The 21,088-nt window shown below is 48.8% G+C and overlaps 1 protein-coding gene across 17 annotated transcripts in view; it reads left to right on the top strand.

Moving 5' to 3' along the window:
• SEMA5B (semaphorin 5B) overlaps positions 1 to 21,088 on the top strand; it is a 119,524-nt gene that overhangs the window by 79,432 nt on the left and 19,004 nt on the right. For 13 of the 17 annotated variants that reach the window (NR_046079.2, NM_001256348.2, XM_047448354.1 and 10 more), the window contains 5 exons: positions 465 to 668; positions 5,639 to 5,738; positions 9,704 to 9,749; positions 20,116 to 20,178; positions 20,559 to 20,657. Coding sequence is in view for 16 of the 17 variants with exons in the window: in NM_001031702.4 (NP_001026872.2) it covers positions 465 to 668; positions 5,639 to 5,738; positions 9,704 to 9,749; positions 20,116 to 20,178; positions 20,559 to 20,657 (512 nt within the window). In the remaining variant the exon portion in view is untranslated. Of the gene's footprint in view, positions 1 to 464; positions 669 to 5,638; positions 5,739 to 9,703; positions 9,750 to 20,115; positions 20,179 to 20,486; positions 20,658 to 21,088 lie in introns of all 17 variants that reach the window. The other 4 variants (NM_001410801.1, XM_047448346.1, NM_001437565.1 and 1 more) reach the window with 1 other exon arrangement.

Genomic DNA, 21,088 nt, shown 5'->3' with positions numbered 1-21,088 from the left:
AGATATAAAGGATCCTGCCTGAATTTTCTTCTAGTATTTTTATGATTGTTATCCTTAACATTGAAATCTTTTGTCTATTTGAATTTTTTCCTAGTATATAAAGTATGAGTTATGGATCCAGATTTATCATTTTACAAATAGCTACCCATGGCCTCAGCTCCATTTATTAAAATCCCTAAGATACTACCTTTATCATTAAAACTAATTTTAAACCATTTGGGATCATAAATAGAAAAGGCACTATAATTTGTCAGTTTTGTACAGAATGCTATTACAAGGGAAATTAGCTTTCAGGGAGTGATCTATATCTTCGCATTTACTAGAGCAGAGCAAACTCTGAGTAACATAAATACAATAGAAATTTATTTTTCAAATCCTGTGGGGGCACTGTAACCACAAGGAAATTGAGGGAAGTGGGCCCAGTTGGAGGGAGCGCTTGGTGAGACTGAGTGTTTACGTTGCAGGTCTTCTCCCCTGTCTGCCTCCCGGAGCTAGGACTGCAGAGGGGCCTATCATGGTGCTTGCAGGCCCCCTGGCTGTCTCGCTGTTGCTGCCCAGCCTCACACTGCTGGTGTCCCACCTCTCCAGCTCCCAGGATGTCTCCAGTGAGCCCAGCAGTGAGCAGCAGCTGTGCGCCCTTAGCAAGCACCCCACCGTGGCCTTTGAAGGTAAGAGTTGCTTCCTACTTGGCCCTGTCTTGCAATGGCCGTGTCCTGAAGGACTTAGGTCAGACCTTGGCAGGATGTTTCTGGCTGTTGGATGTCCTTGGGATGTTCATTAACTGCTGGGTCCCGTCCCGGGGTCCTGAGACTCTTCCTCTGGTGCTGGATGTTTTAAGAAGGATGGGCAGCAATGGGCTGGAGGGGTCTAATTTTTGTCTCTCCGTAATTTATTCAGGCCCTTCATGCATGCCAACCTGGGGTAAGGGGAGTCTTTTGCTAGAAAAGGAAGTTGTGGATGCCCTGGCTGGGGGTGGCCAGGGGTCTCAGCATGACTCATGCATTAGGAGGTGCCTGGAGATCTCTGGAAAGCTTCCTTCTGCTCTAAGGGGCTGCAGGGATCCCTCTCTTTAGGGTCTTGGGAAACCCCGGTGCAAGGGCCCTGGTGACTCATAACTCCTTCTATTTGTCAAGGGAGGGTATGAGAAAGTCCTATGAAAGTGTTTCCCAAACTGGGATCTGTAAATCACTGGACATATTCCAAGGGGTCTGTAAATTCTTGATAAGAGTTTCTAAAATTAGTATATACATTCTAATACTTGCTAAAAAAAAACAAAACAAAACACAAATACCAGACATTCTCTCACGATCTGTTACACAGTTTGGGGGGGGTCATGGTTGTGTTACAGTCACATTAGTACTTCTTGAACCACCACCTACTTGGCAGCTCACACTGGGATCTGCAGATGTAGTCTCAGGGGTTCCTAGGTTCTTAAGTTTGAGGGACACTGGCAGGTTTCCTCCTCATAGTAACCCTGTTGGGGAGGCAGTGCCAGGAGATCGTCACTGCCTTTTACAGATGGGAAGGCCTAGGCATGGTGGGCCAGAGAGGCTTGTCAGAGCCAGTCCTCAGTTCTGGGCTCCTGATTCCACGTGCAGTGCTCTGTCCACTGCCCACTGCAGAGCGATCCGTTGCTCTATGCTCTGGTGGCCCATACAGGAGGACATGCGGAGCCCCATCCTGCAGGAGTGGGTGGGGTAAGATGGAACCCAGCTGGAAAAATCAACCAATGAGGCCTAGGATTTGAGAGGTGGGAGAGGCAGTATGAATGAGAGTCTGGGGGTGTTGTGGAAGGGTGGGATTCCCAGCTGTGGGTTGGCTCCTCTCAGGGAGGAAGGTTTCCAGCTGTCTTCTCGGCGCTGTCTTGTTTGAGCTGGGATCCAAGGCTTTGAAGGCTTAAGTGGATTAAAGTAAATTAACAATGTCCTAAGCCTGCAAAACTCGTGCACACCCTCAGACTTCTGATGGCTCCTGGAGTGCTGGTGGCTGTCACTGAAGAGGACAGAGGGGGACAGAAGGAGTGGATTCTTAGGGCTAGCCTCCTCACACTGGGGCCTCTGTGGCAGCTCCTAATGAAACATTTCCTCCCAGGGGCTTTGTTGGGGGCAATATTGGCTTGGCTGAGTCTGGGGGCAGGGACATGGAAGGAGAGCTGGGGAATCCCTGTCTCCCGACCAATCAGGTCTCCATCTGTGCAAATTGGGTTGGGGGAGGAAGTCAGAGAGGTGGGAGATGTCTTCTGTGTGTGCCTGGGTTCCTTGAGACCATTTTTGACCCTCAGGTATGCATTGAATGAATCTGACTTCTCGCCCCATCCTCCTACAGAATGAAGGAATGCCCCTCTCCCCTTCCCCATTCTGACAGCTTTGAGTTTTCCTATCCGTTTGCTGAATTTTTATTGGGCCCTGCTTTGTGCCAGGCACAGAAGGGGATGCTGTGGGGCCTCAGAGGTGAACAAGAGTTTCCTCTGCGTACCTAATGATCTCGTATTGTTGGTTAAAAGTCACTGCCTTTGGTCCCTCAGCCCAGCTGGTACTGGTTCTGGTCCTGGACCAGGACTGGTTCTCTTGTGTTCCCACATCCCTTAGCACAGCTGAGCACACAGTAGGGACTCAATTCATGCTGGGCAAAGGACTGTGCTCTGGGGATGCTGTGTTCAGGAGAAGTTGCCCTAATCAAGGACAGCACCAACCCCAGCCTCCAAGCCCCCTAGGATGTTACACTTCCTTTCTGACCAATCTGTAGGCTGCCAGCCTTGTAACTGTGAGTTTCCCTCTCCCCTGACACCTGACTGAGCTGTGAATAACCCCTAAATACCCTAGAGGAGCTGCCAGTCACAGAATCTGACTGCTGTTTTTCTGTTTTGTAAGGCTAAATTTTCCCCTGTGGGTTTCTCTTAAGGGGGGCCAAGCTGTGTTTCTCTTCAGCCTGCATATTCTCTCATTTGCCAGTGTTACCTTTCCAGGCAGCAGGAGAAGCCAGCCTGGACTTAACAAATGACGGTGGTTAATCCACAAGGTGGGTAATTGAATTGACTATAATTAAAATCACAGGCGTGTCATGGAGAATGTCTTTTTCTCTTAAAGTCACCGTCCAAAGCCTTTGCCGCACACAGAGCTCGGAACGTGCTTGGTGTTTTAAAGACAGCCTTCCCTCTGGTCCCCTTGGCCTGTTTAATACGAGCAGGCTGGTTCCCTTCCCAAGGCCCCCCTAGGATCCCCGTGCTATGCCCGGCTCCTTCTCTCCCCACTTCCCCCATCCCCCTTGCCCATGTGGGTGAGGGCTACTGGGAGAGGGACGGAAACTGGAAGAGGCCACCACCCTCCATGCCCCCACCCCCACCTCCCCATTTTTATCCCATCTTGTACCCTGTTTCCTCTTCTTTTCCCCTCCTCCCCAAGAAAGGGCCTAAGTGAAGACTGAGCTGGGAAGTCCCCAGATGGAGTATCTACTGCAGACCCGTCATGCCACCTCCTCCCTCATTTAGCTGCCTACATCTGGAATGCCCTTGTTGAAAGGGAAGGAGGAAATTAAGGTGCTTGCTGCTGTTAGGGAGCACCCAGTCTCATAGGGACAGGGAAGACCCTGCCCTACACACACAGAAAATATTTGACCACATTCAGAGTGGTCAAATACACCATAACATACAATGTGAATGGAATGGAAAAATAGAGAGAATGTGGAGCAAAATAAGATCAGGGTGGAGAGGTTGTAATCCAGGAACGCTTCCTGGAGGAGGAGGATCCTTGGTTTCATTTCTAAGGTAATGTAATATTTATCCAGGATTTCTGAGAGGTCAGCTAAAAACCTAACCCACCAGACTCCAGATCCACTTCTTATCCTATATTGCCCAAAAGCCATCGTGACTACATGACAATTCTTGCCAACCTATAGTCACCAACCTATAATCACCTGCTGGGGGCAAAGGCAGGCCCAAGGGGTTTGCTTCATTTTGCTGCAGAATTTCTTTCTTCTTCTTTTTTTAATCATGCCTATCACAGTTTTCTGAAAAACATCCAACTCACAAAACCTCCAGTTCTCCAGGGAGCGATTAAATGTTTGCCTGTCGTGCAGAAATGAAGGGCTGCTTTTACTCTGTAGTGGAGGGATAATGAGCAATGATTTATTTCCTTTGGATTACACACACACAGACTCTCTCTCTCTCTCTGCCTCTCTCTCTATCTCTCTCTCTCTCCTGGCCCTTCTGTGAGTCAGTTGCTAAGGCACTGTGGGGAGAAAGCACAGTGCCTCCCATTACCCTGAATCTTTACCAACAGCGGCATGAAAGTTCCTCTGCTCCATGGCTCTCTCCTTACTGCTGCCAATTCCCACCCATCCATGGGTCATGCATAGGCTGAGGGAGAGCTATCAGGAGGCTGTGAATCAAGAAGGGAGAAGTGTGTCTCCAGCAGGAGGGAAACCGGGCGAGTCAGCTGGCACTTTCTAAGCAGGCCCTCCCAGACCACTCCCCATCCGCCCAGAGGCCGTGAGGTCTCCTCTCTGCCCACCCAGTCCCTTTGAAAGGCCTTGATTGGGAACAACCTTCCTTGGAGGCAGGGTGGACACTGACCGCCCAATCTCTGCACCTCCCACCTCTGCAGAATCTTGTCTGAAAATCCAATTCCCCTCATACAAGAAGGAATTGAGGATTATTCATATATTCGTTCAAACACTGCTAGGTGCTGGACTGAGCCTGGAGATCTAGGAAGCAAAGTCTTTCTTGGCCCCCAGGGCAAACTACCAGGCTAGACACACAGTGTGGCAGTAAAGTAGAAGACTATGGGAGCCCTTTAGCCTGGCTTGAAGCAGTCAGAGAAGGCTTCTTGGAGGAGGTAGGGATGGGGGTGAACAGGAATTGTTCCATCAAGGGAGAACAGAAGCACAAAGGTTTGCAGGCTCTTGTGGGATGGATTTGGGGAAGTGTGAAGTGTTTTAGTGTGGCTGGGGTGGAGAGTTTAGGGAATGTAAAAGGTGAAGCATCATTCTTTCAGGGGATCAGTAAATAATCACTGTGCCAGGCACTGGACTTGGGAGGACAGTGGACCAGAACCCAAGGGCCTTCGCAGGAGTTGGACTTTTCCTGGGGGTAGTTGGGAGCTATGGATGGGTTCTGGGCTGGAGAGTGACATGACCACATTTGCATTTGAGAACAAGCGTTCAGGTTGCTTTGTGGGAAAAGGACTCGAGGGGCAGGCCTGGAAGCCAGGCTGGTTAGGAGGCTGTTGGCACTGCTCCAGACAAGAGCTGGTGGTGGCTTGGATGTAGGTGGGATACAGTGGGAAAAAAGTGGATGGATTTCAGAGGCAGTGTAGAGGTAGAACAGGCAGGATTTACCAGTGTGTACTTATGTGGCTAGTGAAGGTCTGGGGGAAGTCAAGGGCGAGTATAAGTATCCCTTCATGCCTCTGTGGGGAGGGTAGTGCCCTCCTCTGAGCTAAGGAGTGTGGCAGAAGAATGACTACAACACCCACTCCCAAGTCCCTAGGGGCACACAGAGGTGGGCAGGTGGCACCAGGTCTCCCGGGTGCCACCGCCCCACTTCCCCCTGACTTTCACCCTTCTGTTCTGTGGTCTGCTGCGATGCAGCTGGGAGCCTCTGGCCCAACAGTAACCACAGGGTTGCCTCTCCCTCCACCAGACCTGCAGCCGTGGGTCTCTAACTTCACCTACCCTGGAGCCCGGGATTTCTCCCAGCTGGCTTTGGACCCCTCCGGGAACCAGCTCATCGTGGGAGCCAGGTAACAAGGGGCAGAAGGGTCGGGGTGGGAAGTGCAGGGGCTTGGAGCTGGGTAGAGGGAATATTATTCAGGATGAACTCACCTGGGCAGCCCCGCGTGCTGGGCCCCATCCTCTCTGCTGGGCCCTCTCCTTGTGGATGTCTGTCCCCCCACAGGAGGAAGCGTGTTTCGGCTGGGTGGGGGTGGGGGTGACTCTTGACCTCGCAATCTCAGCCAGCTGCAGGCCCCTGTGGTTGGCAGTTAGTGAGAGCAGGGACGCCTGCTGGCCACCTCCTGCCCGGTCCCTGCCTGGTCCCTGCCCGGCTGTCAGAATGGTTTTCTGGGCCAATTCCCCGGGAGTTCCATGCAGAGAAGGTGCCCAGGGGCCCCCTGCCGGCCAGCCGGCGGCCTGCACCTGGGACGGCTGGGTAGGGGTAGAACCTTTCCCGAAGGACCTCACCTACCTTTGGCCTGACCTCTTAGTCCACTGTTCAGATCCAATATCAACAGACAGTACTCTCTGGGGGAACCTGTGGAGACTTTCTGGGTGGACTAGGAGGAGCTCATTCCTCATGAAACCACAGAACATTGGCTCTGGTAGGGAGGGGGCTTAGAGAGGGCCGACCCCAGTAGCTCTCATGGTGCAGTCTCTGGCCCAGCAGCACCCGAGAATGTGTTGGAAATGCAGATTCTTGGGTCCTTCTCAGACCTCTTGAGTCAGAAACTCTGGGAAGAGGCAACCTGTGTTTTAGCAACCCTTCCAGGTGGCCTGACCACACTCAAGTTTGAGAATCTCTGGTGTCATCCAACCGTCCTTATTTTAAACAGGCGGTAGCAGAGGCACTGAGAGGGGAAGGTGACCTTCCCAGCATCACATAGCATGATGACAACAGGGTGTGGGGACTACAGCCAGGTCTCCTTAACCCAGGCCTAGAGTTTCTCTGCAGGTCTGTCTGTGTTATCGCCTGGGACTGCACTACTTTTCAGCTCTGCAGCCCAGAGGTTCTGACTCAGTGGGTGTGGGGTTGGGGAGAGGATGGCCACTGGGTTGGGCACTTCCGGGCCATGCTGTAGCTGACCATCCTTGCCCTGGAGCTTTCTTTAGTGTCTCCACCCCTTCATTTGCTGTATGAAAATGAGGCAAGTCAAGAACACAGCTCTGGATTAGGTGTGGATGAGCTGGGTTCCTGTCCTGGGGGATCTTGACCTTGGAGCCTCAGTTTCCTCATCTGTAAAGTCTGGGTTACAGTCTCTGTGCCACCAGTCTCACAGGGCTGCTGTGAAGCTGGGCCTGAAAGCATTTTTCTTTTAATTTTTTAATTTTTAAATTAACTATTTTGTCTTATGGTAGGACATTCAAAAGGTACAAAGGAGTATATGGTGAAAAGCAGGGCCACCCCCTCAAACAAGCAGGACCCCTGACTGAAGGTTCACCTAGTGGTGAGGTTCCTGACTGTGCCCCCAGAGGGAGTCTGTCCATATGCAACTATACAGGAGGATGGACTTTATTTTCCCAGCAAAGAGAGTAATTGTTTTACTCTCTATTTTGAGATGACTGTCGATTTACACACAGTTGTAAGAAATAATAGAGATCCCATATACCCTTCACCCAGTTTCCCCCAAGGCTAACATCTTGCATAACTGTAGGACAACATTAAAATCAGGAAACTGGCCTTGATGTGATCCTTCAACCTAATTCTGATTTCACTAGTTTTACATGTGTACTTCAACAAACCCAAATGGTAGCATCCGAAGACTCTACTCTGAACCTTGTGAAAGCATTTCAAAAGCTGCCATTTATTCCGCACCGGCCATGTGCCAGGCACTATTTTATATGTCATATATGTAGTAAGTCAGTTACTGCATGTAGTAAAGGTAGTAAATCACACATGTATTTAATCTAATACATGTAGTAAATCATGCCTGCAGTAAATCATTGAATCTTCACAAGTGGGTGAACCCAGGAAGTGGGTTCTATGTACCCCCATTTTATGGACCAGGAAACTGAAGCTCAGAGAGGTTATGTTACCCTGTGACTGTGGTCACACTGTTCTTCCTCATCCGCTCTGCGGCTTCCCCAGAAGGTGGTTATGTTTTCTGTCTGGAGGCTTCCCACACAAAGATGGAGGGACACTTTTTCCTGCATCCTTGAGCCTGGCTATGCCCTCAGATGGACAGGGAAACTCAATTCTAGACCTGGTCCCTTAGGCTTCTTAGAGCCAATGTAGTGGGTCTTTGGCCACTTTCTTTTCCTGTCTCCAGCTCATTTTCCTTCCTCCTTTTCTTCTGCCTGACATTGTCTTCCCTTCTTCTTGACCCCTGGATCTCTGGAATTCAGGCTAGGGAAATTTTTTATTCATTTATAACCCTCCCTTGTTCCGAAAGGGATTTAGGGTGGGTCAGGCTACAGAGATTTCTCTCTGTTCTCATATTCCAGCTCCCAGGAGAGTTGACTGCGATGTTGTGATGAATGATTTTTGATGGGATAAAAATGAATAAAGTGATGCAATGTTTCCCCTAATTTGTTAAAGCTGTGAGCAGATGCCTGTGTTACCTAAGCAGGCAGCTGGGGCACAGCCATAAGCTGGAGCTTATCTGTTCCCAGGCCAGGAGGGTGGGATAGGGAGAGCTCTGCTAAGGACTTGGGGAGGGGGTTGGAGAAGGACAGCAGAGGCCTGGAGCCAAGGTCACCTGGGAGGCCCGCCCAGCCCCAGGACAGCAAAGAAGATGAGTGGGGCCTGGGCCTGGAGCCAGAGCTGGGAAGAGAAGCCTCCTGGCCTGCGGCATCTCCTTCCGGCTCTGGATTCCTTCAGCAGGGGCCCTCTTTCTCTTCCGGTCCCACTCCACAGCCTTTCCCCTCATTTCCCTCCTCAGCTGAGGTAGGCCAGAACTTTCTAAAATCTTTGTTCCTAAAAAGTTTAGGAACCAAAATAGGAATAGCCCAAAGAAGACAGAAGAACCAAAGAAAGAAAATTGGTGGGGGAAATCAAGACTTTGCATCTGTTCAGCATGAACAGAGCCTTTAAATGTGCATCACACCATTCCTCTGTCTCCACAGTCCTGTGAAATAAGAAAGATAGCCATTCACTTCCCCATTGTACAGATGCAGGCACTGAGACTCTCAGAAGGTGGCAGGTGGCTGAGCTGGAATTCTCCCTGTCTGTGCATGGTGGCCTTCTGACTCCAGCATCCATGCAAACAAATTTCAGCAGCAGCTGACACTTATGATACTCAATAAGTGTCTGATATCATTATTACTACTAGTAGTATCCTCTTTGTTACTGAAGGTGAAAACTGTTTGAGGTTGATAAGTCTGGAAGCCCTGTGCAGGCTGGACTGTGGGGAGAGGGATGGTGAGGTGGTGGATGGGGTCGTTTGGGTTAGAGGAGAGAGGGTGGTCCAGAAAGGTGGCCACAGAAAGGTCAGACCTGGAGTCACTGACTGCTGGAGAGACTGCAGGAGATGAACAAACAAATCGGACTCAGGACCCCGGGATGTGGAGCCAGGAGAGATGGCTGGCCTGTGTGAGAAGGGGTGAGTCAGGGTGGAGGGCCAGAGTAGGAGGAAGCTGGCTGTCTGCATCTCTGTAAGAGTGCTGTGAGGCTTTACATTTAACAGCCTCCATGGTTGGAAAAGGTGGGGTCAAGGGGTTCCTCCCAGGGCTAGCTGAGTTGGCTGGGAGCAGAGACAGCATGGAACTTGGAGGAAAGTCTGGGTTTCAATCCTAACTCCTTCACTTACTATCTTGGTGACTTGGGCCATTTACCCACCTTGCTTCTTCATCTGTAACTTGGAGCTTCCTGGATTTCCTCCCAGGGTTGTGTGAAGATTAAGTGAGCAAATGGAGGTAAAGCTCTCCTTAGGGGTTGACCCTAGGCAATCAGCACCCAGTCCTGGCGTCCCAGGAGGCCCAAGCCAGGAGGCTGCTCCCTGGGTCCTGCCTGCAGAACCAGCGTCACTTAGGATGTCTGTTTCCATTTTCACAGGAACTACCTCTTCAGACTCAGCCTTGCCAATGTCTCTCTTCTTCAGGTACGATTGCTTTCTTCCCTTCCCTTCCTATAATTTCCCCTATTCCAGAGCCCAAGGCAGGGCAACGCAAGTGGCGCCATTCAGAATTCAGCCCCTAAAGTTGAAAACAGGAGCCACTTGTTCTTTTCACTGGCCATGGACTCAGACCCCAGCTATCAGAGTCACTGCCCGCAATGTACGTGGAGGGAGGGTGTGGCTCACATATACGCAGAGGCACACAAGGCTCTTGCATCATGCAGCGAGGCTGCTAATGAGGAAGGGAGAAAAAGAATGCCAGGCTGGGGTGACCAACTGTCCCTGTTTGGGACTGAGAATGCAGAACTTCCAGTGCAAAAACTGGGACAATACTGGGCAAACTGGGTTGGTTGGTTATTGTAAGTCCCCAGACCTGGCTCCACAGGAGGGTCTCTGAGTTCAGGCCTCCACGGAAAGGGTGTTCCTAGTTCCTTTCCTAGCCCAGTCTGAATGATCCCATTCTAACTCAGCATTTTCTTTGAGCTGTGATTGATTTATTATCTGCTGCCAAGAAGGACTTCCCAAGCATAATTCCCTAAGTGCTCTGAGAGGCGTTTTAATGGGACTCCTTGGTCCAGAACATTTATCCCAGATTGAGAAACAGATGTCAAACCATCTTTGCAGAGGCTGAATATTGTAGAGAAAGGAAGGCCATCTCTTCTTCAATGAGGGGAGAGCCTCAATTCTCATGTCTAGGAGACATGTTCTAGTCTCCCAATGATTAAGCATTCATTGAGCACTTACTGTGTACCAGAACTCATGGCTAGGGGGCCACGAGACTATAAGAAATGCAGAGTCTCTGGCCTTCAGGAAAACATGATGAGTGACTAACCTAATCAGAAGTTAGAACTTAATCATTTGCTGGGCTGTTTGGTATAGAGTTTCACTGCCACAAGGGAGACCTTCTTGGGGAGCTGGTATGACATTCTGGCCACACCTGGGTCCACACACCCAGGGACATTGCAGTTCTTGGCTGGTTGCTAGAGGGGAGGTATAAGGAAGCAGAAAATCTGTGCCCATTGGAAGGGAAGGGTTGGGAGGAACTAGGGCAAGTTGAAAGAAAATGCCATTCATCCATTTGTCTGTCCATCTGTCCTTCTATCCATACCTTTACTAGCCAGCCTGCCCATCCATCCATCCATCCATCCATCCACCCATCCAATAAACATTTGTTGAATAACCACTAAAGGCCAGGTCTCATCCTAGGCATGGTACAAGGCATTTGAGTTCTAAAGTGAATCAGGCCCAGTACCTTGCCGCAAGGAATATGCACATAAGGGATCACATACGATTCCCTTGAGGGGCTGTGCAGCATATTCCTGGGATCTGGGCTGGAGCAAGGCAGGGGAAGTTCCCCAGAAGCAGCATCTTGTGGCCTGTGAGCTCAGTCACAGGCAGCCAGTCCAGAGCCTAGTTTCCATTGGCCGGAAAGTAAGCCAAGTTGCCAAACCCAGCAGGTCAGGGCCTGGGGGAAGCCAGTGCAGAGGAGGTTCAAAGTGGGCGGGAGGAAGTGGACCCAGGGGTCCCACCCTGAGCTCCAGGCAGCTGGGTTTTTATTTGGTTCCTGTGGTGTGCAGATGAAGGCCTTCTAGGAGTGTAATGTGGCTGAAGGGAGGAAGAGAAATAGATACACAGAAATAAAAGCAATGCTGTTAAGACTGCGCTTGATGACTGAGTTCTGGGGTTTGGTTCATCCAGGTCAGTGTTGACCTGGTGTCAGCCTGGGGCAGGTAGCTTATGGCAGCCCATAGCTCAGGCTTGGAGCAGGGTCTCAGCTCCAACGGCATTCCCTGAAGGGCCCTACAGACAAGCCCCCAAAGCACCAGGAACTGGTTGACCACCTTTCCCAGCATGTCTCTTAGGGGCCTGACCTCAGGATTTCAGACTGGATTCACTGTGACAGAACTAAGGGAATAAATACATTTTATGTCCACGTTCCCACTCTGGTGTGTACCATCTGTCCACAGAGGGGAGAGAACAAGCAAGAGGTTGGGGTGTGCCATCCAGTGTCCCCTGGAGCAGACCTTGGCCTCTGGTCTTCAGTGCCCGGTCCTCCTGTCTGTTGTCTGGCCTGGTGAGGAAGCCCTGACTTGTAACTCTCAAAGCCTAACTTCAGGGGTTGCCCTGCCAGTGCCCTCTCCGGGAGCTTTGGGTCCCTGGTTATAAGCTTTCAGTTCTCAGTGTCTGCTGTCACCAGTAACCAAGTGCTGAAAATGATCTGTACCACTTTGCTGACAAGGGCGGCTGGGCCAGGGTGCCCCCGCCCAGCTTCCTCTACTCTCCCTGTGGCCTGGGGCTACACTTGGGTTAAAACTCCCCATTATGGAGCCAACTGATTCTCCCACTTGGCCCCAGGGCATGATTTAAGCAAACTTAAAACTCAATGCTTTATTGATAGTTTAAATAATTAACATTACGTAAAGAAAAATCTAAATGTAAACAGTTTTTGCAAACGAGTATCCATTAAGGGACTTCCAAGTACCTAACCCCTATTAAACAATTTATGTAAACCACTCTTCCTTAAAGAAAATCGAATGCCCAGCTCCTTCCCAATCCTCCAAGCTCTGAAGTAGGGAAGAGGTGCAGCTAGGAGCAGATGGGGCAGTGTGTGTGTTGGAGGTGGAGGAGTGGGGGAAATCAAATCAGCTCACCTGTGTGGTTATTTATCAGTGTAACTTAATAAACTGGTACTGGGAAAGAAAAGGAGGCTAGTGATTGACAGCATCCCCGGGCTGCTGAGAGGACCAGCATGATGAGCTGTCTTGGAGTTGGCAATTAGGAGCTCGTGAGCGACCTTTGCCAGAACAGTTCCATGGGACGACCTGGCTGGAGGCCTAATTGCAACAGATTTATGATCTTGGTTTGCCAGATATCCTGCGAGGCAGAAACGAGGACTGTTCTGCACATATGCATCAGGACGCATAATGGGGCTTTGTTCGGGCCTGGGCAGACATGGAGGGCAATGCCTGAGCTCTCTTCCAGTTTATCTCCACGTCCTCCAAGCTCAAATCTGGCAGCCCTGGAGTGGTTTGAAGTTGAAACTCCACAGAGCAGTGGACTTAATGCTCCAAAGATGCGTTGACATTCAGCCATTGTCCCTGGCCCCCAAGTGTCCGTGGGAGTTGCTGAGTTTTCATGGAGATGATCCACGTCCCTGGGTGTCGCCTGCTTCCTCTCACAGCGTGAAAACCACACAGCTACTGTTACTAGAGATCATCCTGGAATTTCTGGGACAGCCCTTGTTTAAAGCACTCTGTGTTCCAGATTGATCAGACACGTCTCTCTCCACCCCTTCACAAAACTCCACTAAAAAGAGTGAGAAATTTTAAAGGGTGCACATTCACAACAACAGAGAGAATGAAAAAGATGTCAGTGAAGAAGAGATTATGCATTCTGGGGCAATGGAAAGCGGATAGAGGCTGGGCACAGTGGCTCACTCCTGTATTCCCAGCACTTTGGGAGCCCAAGGCAGGCGGATCACCTGAGGTCAGAAGTTCAAGACCAGCCTGGCCAACGTGGTGAAACCCCATCTCTACAAAAATACAAAAATTAGCTGGGCATGGTGGTGGGTACCTGTAATCCCAGCTACTCAGGAGGCTGAGGCTACTCGGGAATCACATGAACCCAAGAGGCGGAGGTTGCAGTGAGCAGGTATCACGCCACTGCACCCCAGCCTGGGCAACAAAGCGAGAATCTGTCAAAAAAAAAAAAAAAAAAAAAAAAGAAAGAAAGAAAAAGAAAAAAAAGTGGATAGAGCAGGTCGGCTTGCAGAAGGGATGCAGTGGACAGGCAGCTGACTCCTCAGAAGGGCCCCAGAATTGGGTGTCCCATATTGTATGATGTGAGGATGAGGTACAAGGATGAAAGGAAGGATTGATTGACATTCTCTAAATTAAAGGGTTGGGACCCAGGTCTCCTGTCCCATCCTGAACAGCAATCCTTTCTTCCATCTTCTCCCTCCCTCCAATAAAGGAATCAAGACCCTTTCTCCAAAGATTCAACTAGAAAGTCTCCATATTCAGAGACTCCTAAAGGGCACTGATGGGGTGTGATCAGACGAAAGTCTACTTCCTCCTCCCACCCCCTGCTCCCCCAGCCCCACTTCCAGGCAGGAGACTAAGGGAGTCTTTGCTGGAAAAACTCAATGACTACAGAGACCAGACTTTTAGAATATGACATAGAGGGCCTCCCAGTGAAAAAGGCTCCTCACCCAGCACCCTACAAGAAGCCCACCAGTCTCTATGAGACCTCCCATGGAGTTCCCAGTGAGCTGCTTAGTACTTTACTCTTAAAGCAAACAAACAAAGATGCTTTTTTTTATCACGTAATTTCATACACACACAAAAGCAAAGAGAATTGTACATGAACCCCGTGTACTCAATAGCACTTTAACAATTATCAGCTCAAGGTCAATCATCTTTCATTTACATACATCCCCCCACGTCCCTGTCCTGAAGCAAATCTCAGACATATCATAACATCCATAAATATTTCAGTATACATTTCTAAAAAATAGGGATTCTTTTTTTTTTTTTTTGAGGTGGGTCTGACTCTGTCACTAAGGCTAGTGGCACAATCATTACTCACTGCAGCCTCCAACTCTTGGCCTCAAGCTGTCCTGCTGCCTCAGCCTCCCAAAGTGCTCGGATTACAGGTATAAGCCACCATACCAGGCTGGGATTCTTTTTATTTAAGTGGCCCAAAGTTAATAACTTCATATCACTAAATGTCCAGTTAATGTTTACATTTCCCTACTTGTCTTATAAAATTTTAAAATAATTTTGGTTATTTGAATCAGGATTCAAATATGCTGCAATTTGTTGATATGTCTCTTTAAAACAATATTTCTCTCTGTGCAATTTTTTATTGTGCAATTTTTTATTGAAGAAACCTCGTCACTTGTCCTATAGAGTTTCCCACAGCCTGGATTTTGCTGATTGTAATGCAGGTGGCATGACTGAACATGTTGCTCTCTTCCCTGTATCACCTGTACATTGATTGTTAGAGCTAAAAACTTCATTCAATTTAGATTCTGGCAAGATTACTTCATAGGTGTTCTTGTGTCCTTTCTTTAGGAGGTACACAGTGTCTGATTTTCTCTCTTTTGATGTTAGTAATCAGTGATGATCTTTTTCTAGATCCTTTAATTCTTTAGGTATTACAATCAATTAGCTGGGCTACTTCTATAAAAACAAAATTTTTGGGCCGGGCACGGTGGCTCACGCCTGTAATCCCAGCACTTTGGGAGGCCGAGGCGGGTGGATCACCTGAGACCAGGAGTTCGAGACCAGCCTGGCCAGCATGGTGAAACTCTGTCTCTACTAAAAGTACAAAATTAGCCGGGTGTGGTGGCGCGCACCTGTAATCCCAGCTACTCGGGAGGCCGAGGCAGGAGAATCACTTGAACCTGGGTGGCAAAGGTTGCAGTGAGCAGAGATCATGCCACTGCACTCCAGCCTGGGCAACAGAGCAAAAGTCTGTCTCAAAGAAAAAAAAATTCAATTAATGATAAACAACCAATTAGTATCTTCTGAGAGATACAAAATATTTTGTTTATAAAACAATAAACTTAAAATATGGAAATTTAAAATGTGATTGGGAAAATAAACATTGAATTGAAGGATTAGAAAATAATGTTGAAGAAAAACCTACCAGAACAACAAAAAAGAAATGAAACATAGGAGAGAAATATCAGAAAACTAGAGGATCAATGCACAAAGGCCAACAGTGGATTGGAATATTAAGAGTTCCAAAAAGAGAACAGAGGAAAAGATGAGGAAGAAATTAAGGATGAACTAACGTAAGAAAATTTGCCAAAACAGAGAATGAGTCTTCAATGCTAAAAGGTTGACTGAGTTCCCAAAAAAGACCCGTCCTAAGGCACATCAGTGTGAAATTCAGGACACTGTTATTAAGGAGAAGATCCTAAAAGTTTCCAGAGCCTAAAGAAAAAAAGAAAAAGAAAATGTCATCAGAGTCCTCAATAGCAATGCTGGAACCTAGAAGACAATGGAGGAATAAATGCCTTTAAAATTCCAAGTGAAAATTATTTTCAACCTAGAATTTGGTATCAAAACTACCAATCAAGTATGAAGAGAGAATAAATCAGACATGCAAGAATTTGAAAAATTGATCTACCATGTTCCTTTTCCTAGGAAGATACTGGAGATGTGTTCCACCAAAATAAGCGAATAAATCAAGAAAGAGGGAAACATGCGATTCGGAAAGCAGGAGAGGAAAGAAGGTAAGCCCCAGGCTAACAGTCAAGCAGGAGGCCTCGAGAGCAGCCAGAACACTAGGCAGGAAGATGGAGGTTGGGGGATGAGGAAGAGGATGGGAACTCACAGATTATCTGAATCATTTGTGCATGCAGTAAGAAAATCATATTGAGCCCAGGCATGGTGGCTTACACCTAGAATCCCAGCACTTTGGGAGGCCGAGGGGAGCAGATGACTTGAGACCAAGAGTATAAGACAAGTCTGGGCAACACAGCAAGACCCTGTGTGTACAGATAATTTTAAAAACTAGCCAAGTGTGGTGGTGTGCACTTGTGTTCCCAGCTACTTGGAAGGCTGAGGCAAGAGGATCACCTGAGCTCAGTGTTAGGTTTTGAAGGGAAGGTGAAGGTTAAAGAAAGACACACACACAGCAAGAGGGTGGCTCAACAGCAAATGCAGGCTCTATGTCCAGCATAAACCTATACAAGTGGGAAACTAGCCTAATGCCAGAGCCCACCACTGCTTACAGGCTAGGGGTACTTATAGGTATGGGTGGGAGGGGTCTGGGCAGTATGGCTTGCTGCCCAGCGGGATATTGATAAGATGTTCCCATGATGAGGCAGTTCTGGCCCTTATTCCCGTGGGATGTCATCATAGTGTTCCTTGGACCTTTGCCCAGCGAGATATGATAGGGATATTTCTTTAGTTGGGCCTTTGTCTACCTTGTGGTCAGGTGATTAAGAAGGATGTTTCTCACAGCCCGAATGCCTGGGAAATGTTTCACTTTGACCAAGGGTTGCAAAATAGTGGGGAAGCTTAAAATGGTGCAGTTTGGACTAACACCCAGGAGGTTGAGGCCGCAGTGAGCCATGATTGTGTCACTGTACTCCAGCCTGGGGGACAGAGCAAGACCTTCTCTCCAAAAAAAAAAAAAAAAAAAAAAAAAAATCATATTGAGAGGGATGTGTAAGACCTGTTGGACATTTGGGGAAAATTGGTGATAGTTCCATGCAAAACAAGCAAATGGAGACAATCAAGACAATTATTCAGTCCAAGAAAACCAAAACATTGTTCAAAAAAGGGAAACCTTATCAGAATACGAATATTTCATTGATTCTCACTCACATGCACATGTTTTCACATTTTAATGAGTCTGAAGTTGGGACGTGTCTTTCAGTTAAAGACATCTGACAGTCACATTCAGCCAGGTGCAGTCTTGATGTTGTCATGCCTGTGCAGGTATGAACTTAGTCATTTTTTCTGGTGTTCTGACCAGACAACAGCAACCCCTCGACGTTTCAGTCCACAAACCATTTTAGGATCACATGAGGGAAGAATGTGAGTCCTGGTGTGTCAGAAAACCTGTAGGCATCTTTTGGTATCGTGCTCATTCTATAAGCATCCAGACTTGCAGGATGATGTCAATGGCATGGAAGAAAATTGTGGAGATCAGAGTCCTTTAAGAATTATTGCAACACTGACACCTAGGTAGTTCAAAGAATGATTCTCTAAACAGACAAACAGCAAAAATGAGCACTGACAACTCTAAAAAGTGATTCAGAAGAGATGAACACTGAATTCAAAGGTTTAAGGATACTCAATTTTGCGTATTTTTTTGTATGCCAAGATTGATATATGATAAAACATATGTCTGAATAAGAGCACTTTCAATATGTATACGTTAAAATTTTAACTAATAAGAGCATTTGATTGGCAGCAATTTTGTTTCTCAGTGGTTCATATTACAAGTTGATGGTGCCATATATTCAGTGAAATCTGGGGTACTGGCTGTAAATACCAATGTTGATTTTAATTAAAACTGTCATTATAATGGGAGGATGGGGAGATGGGAAATGTTACGTGTGCTTTGGTGCGGGGAAGAACGGTGGTGGGTAAGTGGGAAAAATCTTCACCTCTGTAACAGGAATTCAAAAGATGAAGACTGAGATTGATACATATTTTTTAGAAATCGATTTTAAAAAACAGAGAAACAACTAAAAGAGGTGAAGGTGGTTGTCCTTGGGAAAAGGGGTGGGCTATGGGAGGAGTGGGTCGTCGGAGTTTTAATTAATACATTTTAATACTATTTAACTTTTTAAACTCTGTGCATCACTAATTTGATAAAAATAATTTTTGAAATAAATTAAAAATAAATAAATGGTCTCAAAAAAGCCATTCTGTGCTGTTCTCTCTATAAACCTATATACTTTTTTGGGGGCATATGGCCTAACTTTTGGTTAGAGAAATCTATTCACTGTGAGAGGCTGCAGGATGTAGCAGAAAGAGCTTAGTTCTGGTGTCAATTGTCTGGAGTCATCTTGGGTTTCTCGTTTACTAGCTGTGTGACCTTGGGCAACTTGCTCCACCTCTCTGGACTTTAGTGTTCTTCCCTGTAAAACAAGCAAAAGGCTATGTGTTTCACTGTTTTCTGTGAGGATCAAAGAGAAAAAGTGTGTCAAGTCCCTGGCACAGTGCCTGTCCCACTGTTGAATTCAGCGTAACTTTAACTCCTCTTATGGTACAGCCCCCTCTTCAATGGAATCAAGGCTGACCCCTTTGGTGTGCTCCTCTGCTCAGAGACTCGAGGACCCTTTGCTCATGCGGTCCTCGCAGAGCCGCCCACCGTCCGGGGCTTTTGGCCTGCACAACTGCAATGTTTGTGGCTCGTTGCTCTTTTCTGTCCCCAGAAGCCCTGAGATTTCTTATTTATGGCCCTCTCTTCTCTCATATCAGGCTCAGCCTGGGAGTTGATGGGTCCTGAGTATGACAGTGCTCGGTTGTTTCTGTCCAGATGAACACCGTGGCTCTGTGGCCAGATTCAGGGTCCTTTGCTCTTCTCCAAGGTCTGGGAGACACAGAAGCCTGGGCTCCAAACTTGTCACTCATCTCCTGAATCCAGGGTGTGCAGGAGTCAGCCTCCCTCTGCCTCACAAAGCAGCCATCACCAGGGCAGGTTGGCTGTGGGCTGGAAAGCAGAGAGAGGTCTGCTGCTCGCTCTCCCGGCCCCCTGCCTCCCCTCCCACACTGCGGCCTCTGGGGCTCTGCAGGCAGTGACTTCATGGCTAGAAACAGCCTTGTTAGAAATTAAAAGCAGGTGGGCTCTTTTTTTTCCCCTCCCCATTTGGAAGACAGAGCTGCTTTCTCAGGGCTCCCTCTCCCAGGACAGATAGGCAGTTCATGTTTATACACGTGACCCAGAAATATATAATGAGCCACGCCAGGGCTGTTGACATTGCCTGGACGTGGAGGGCATCACGCCTCCCTTCAGCTGCTGTTCAGAGAGAGTAGAGGCAGAATAGATGAAGGGGAAGAAGAGATCCTGGGTTGGGGACAGCCCTCTCCTAATGCCATGGGCATGTGAGAACATGGCACTGTCCTGCAGGTCCCCACATGAAAGCTGTGTCCCCAGACACATTACCCCACGGCAGAGCATGAGTGATGCTACCAGGGAAGCTGGGAGGAAAGTGCAGACAGTGGGGGTGGGAGGGAGGAGAGCAATTAGGAAAGGGGAAGTCCTAGCCCTTAAGACTGTGGGAACACACATAACCTTTGGAATCAGAAATGTGGGTTCCAGTCCCTGCTCTACACGAGGTTCTGTGTGACTTGCTTAGGTCACACAGAACCTTGGTTTTCCCCATCTGTTAAGGAAAAAGCCCAGAGTTGTCAACAGAAAATTAAATCTCTTACATTCAGGGTTTGCCAAATCTTTTCTCCCTTCCTGCCTGCCGCTGAGTTGAGGGCCATCTGGCACAGAATAGGCGCATTCCCCACCCAGGGCCTGGGGTGGGATTGAAGGTCCTTCGGCCACTTCCAGCTCCCTGGCTGACTCCGAGGGCAGATCTGCGTGGGGATGATGAAAGATTCAGAAGCTGTTCCTCCAGGCCTCCTCTGACACAAGCAGGCAGTGGGGTGTTGGGCTGAGGGTGCCCACCTGTGAAAGACCTCTGGGTAAGGAGATTGGGAGCCCTCCCACGTCCATGTGGATGTAGTGAGAGGAGCCCTCACCCTGCAGACCAGCCCTCCTTCACAGCTTCATGTCCACTCCCGACACTGGCTGCTGCCTGCTCTGCCAGTGAGTGGCAGTAAATGACACAGCCATGTGATGTCTGTGTGCTCCTATGTTCCTCCCCCAGGCCACAGAGTGGGCCTCCAGTGAGGACACGCGCCGCTCCTGCCAAAGCAAAGGGAAGACTGAGGTACGTGGTCTCGGCGGTCCAGGGGCCCCACCTGGAGCTGGAAGGAGGCCTGTGGTTGTGGGGATGGAGCAGCACTGTGTGGACTGAGGTCCCCTGCTAGAGAGGCCTGGCCAGGATGAGCTGGGGCTCCTTGGGCAGGTGAGGATAACAGCCCTGTGGCGAGCTGGTCCTGAGCATCTGAGTGAGCAGTGATGCGGAGAAATGACCTTGGTGGGAGGGGACGTCCACAGACGTGACCCGGACGTCGGGACAGGTGGATCTGGGGTCAAGGGGAGTGTTTAGAATACTTGTTGGCATCCATGACGCAGTGGTGTGAGCGTGAGATATCCAGCATCGCACCTGGAGAGCTGTGCTGTCTGCTCCTTTCCTTCCTGCCTCAGGAGGAGTGTCAGAACTACGTGCGAGTCCTGATCGTCGCCGGCCGGAAGGTGTTCATGTGTGGAACCAATGCCTTTTCCCCCATGTGCACCAGCAGACAGGTGGGCACCTCAGGGTGGAGGAGACTGAAGGGGGCACCATGCCGGGGGTTCTCCTGCCTAGGCACACAGCCTTGAAGGGGGGTTACCAAATTTTGCAAACAGACACCCAAAACAGAAACAAAAGGACACCCAGTTAGATTTGGAGTTCAGATAAACAATAAGTGATATTTTAGCATAAATGTGTCCCATGAAGTGTCTGGGACAAACTTATACTAAAAATTTACTCCCTGTTCGTCTGAAATTCAAATTGAGCTGGGCCTTCTGTATTTTGTTGGTCAGCCTTACCTTGGAGGGTCCTGACTGGGGCTGGAGGCAGATGGAGCTACTGGGAGGACCTCTCCCTCACTGAGGGCTGCTCCCTCAGAGGGACCATGAGCTGAGCAGTGAGATGACGCTGGAGGAGGGGAGAGGCCCAGAGAGACTGGGGCACA

Source organism: Homo sapiens, chromosome 3, assembly GCF_000001405.40.
Source record: "Homo sapiens chromosome 3, GRCh38.p14 Primary Assembly".
Taxonomy (NCBI): domain Eukaryota; kingdom Metazoa; phylum Chordata; class Mammalia; order Primates; family Hominidae; genus Homo; species Homo sapiens.
Note: the sequence above shows the minus strand (reverse complement) of the source record. Positions and strands in the feature narration are given on the sequence as shown.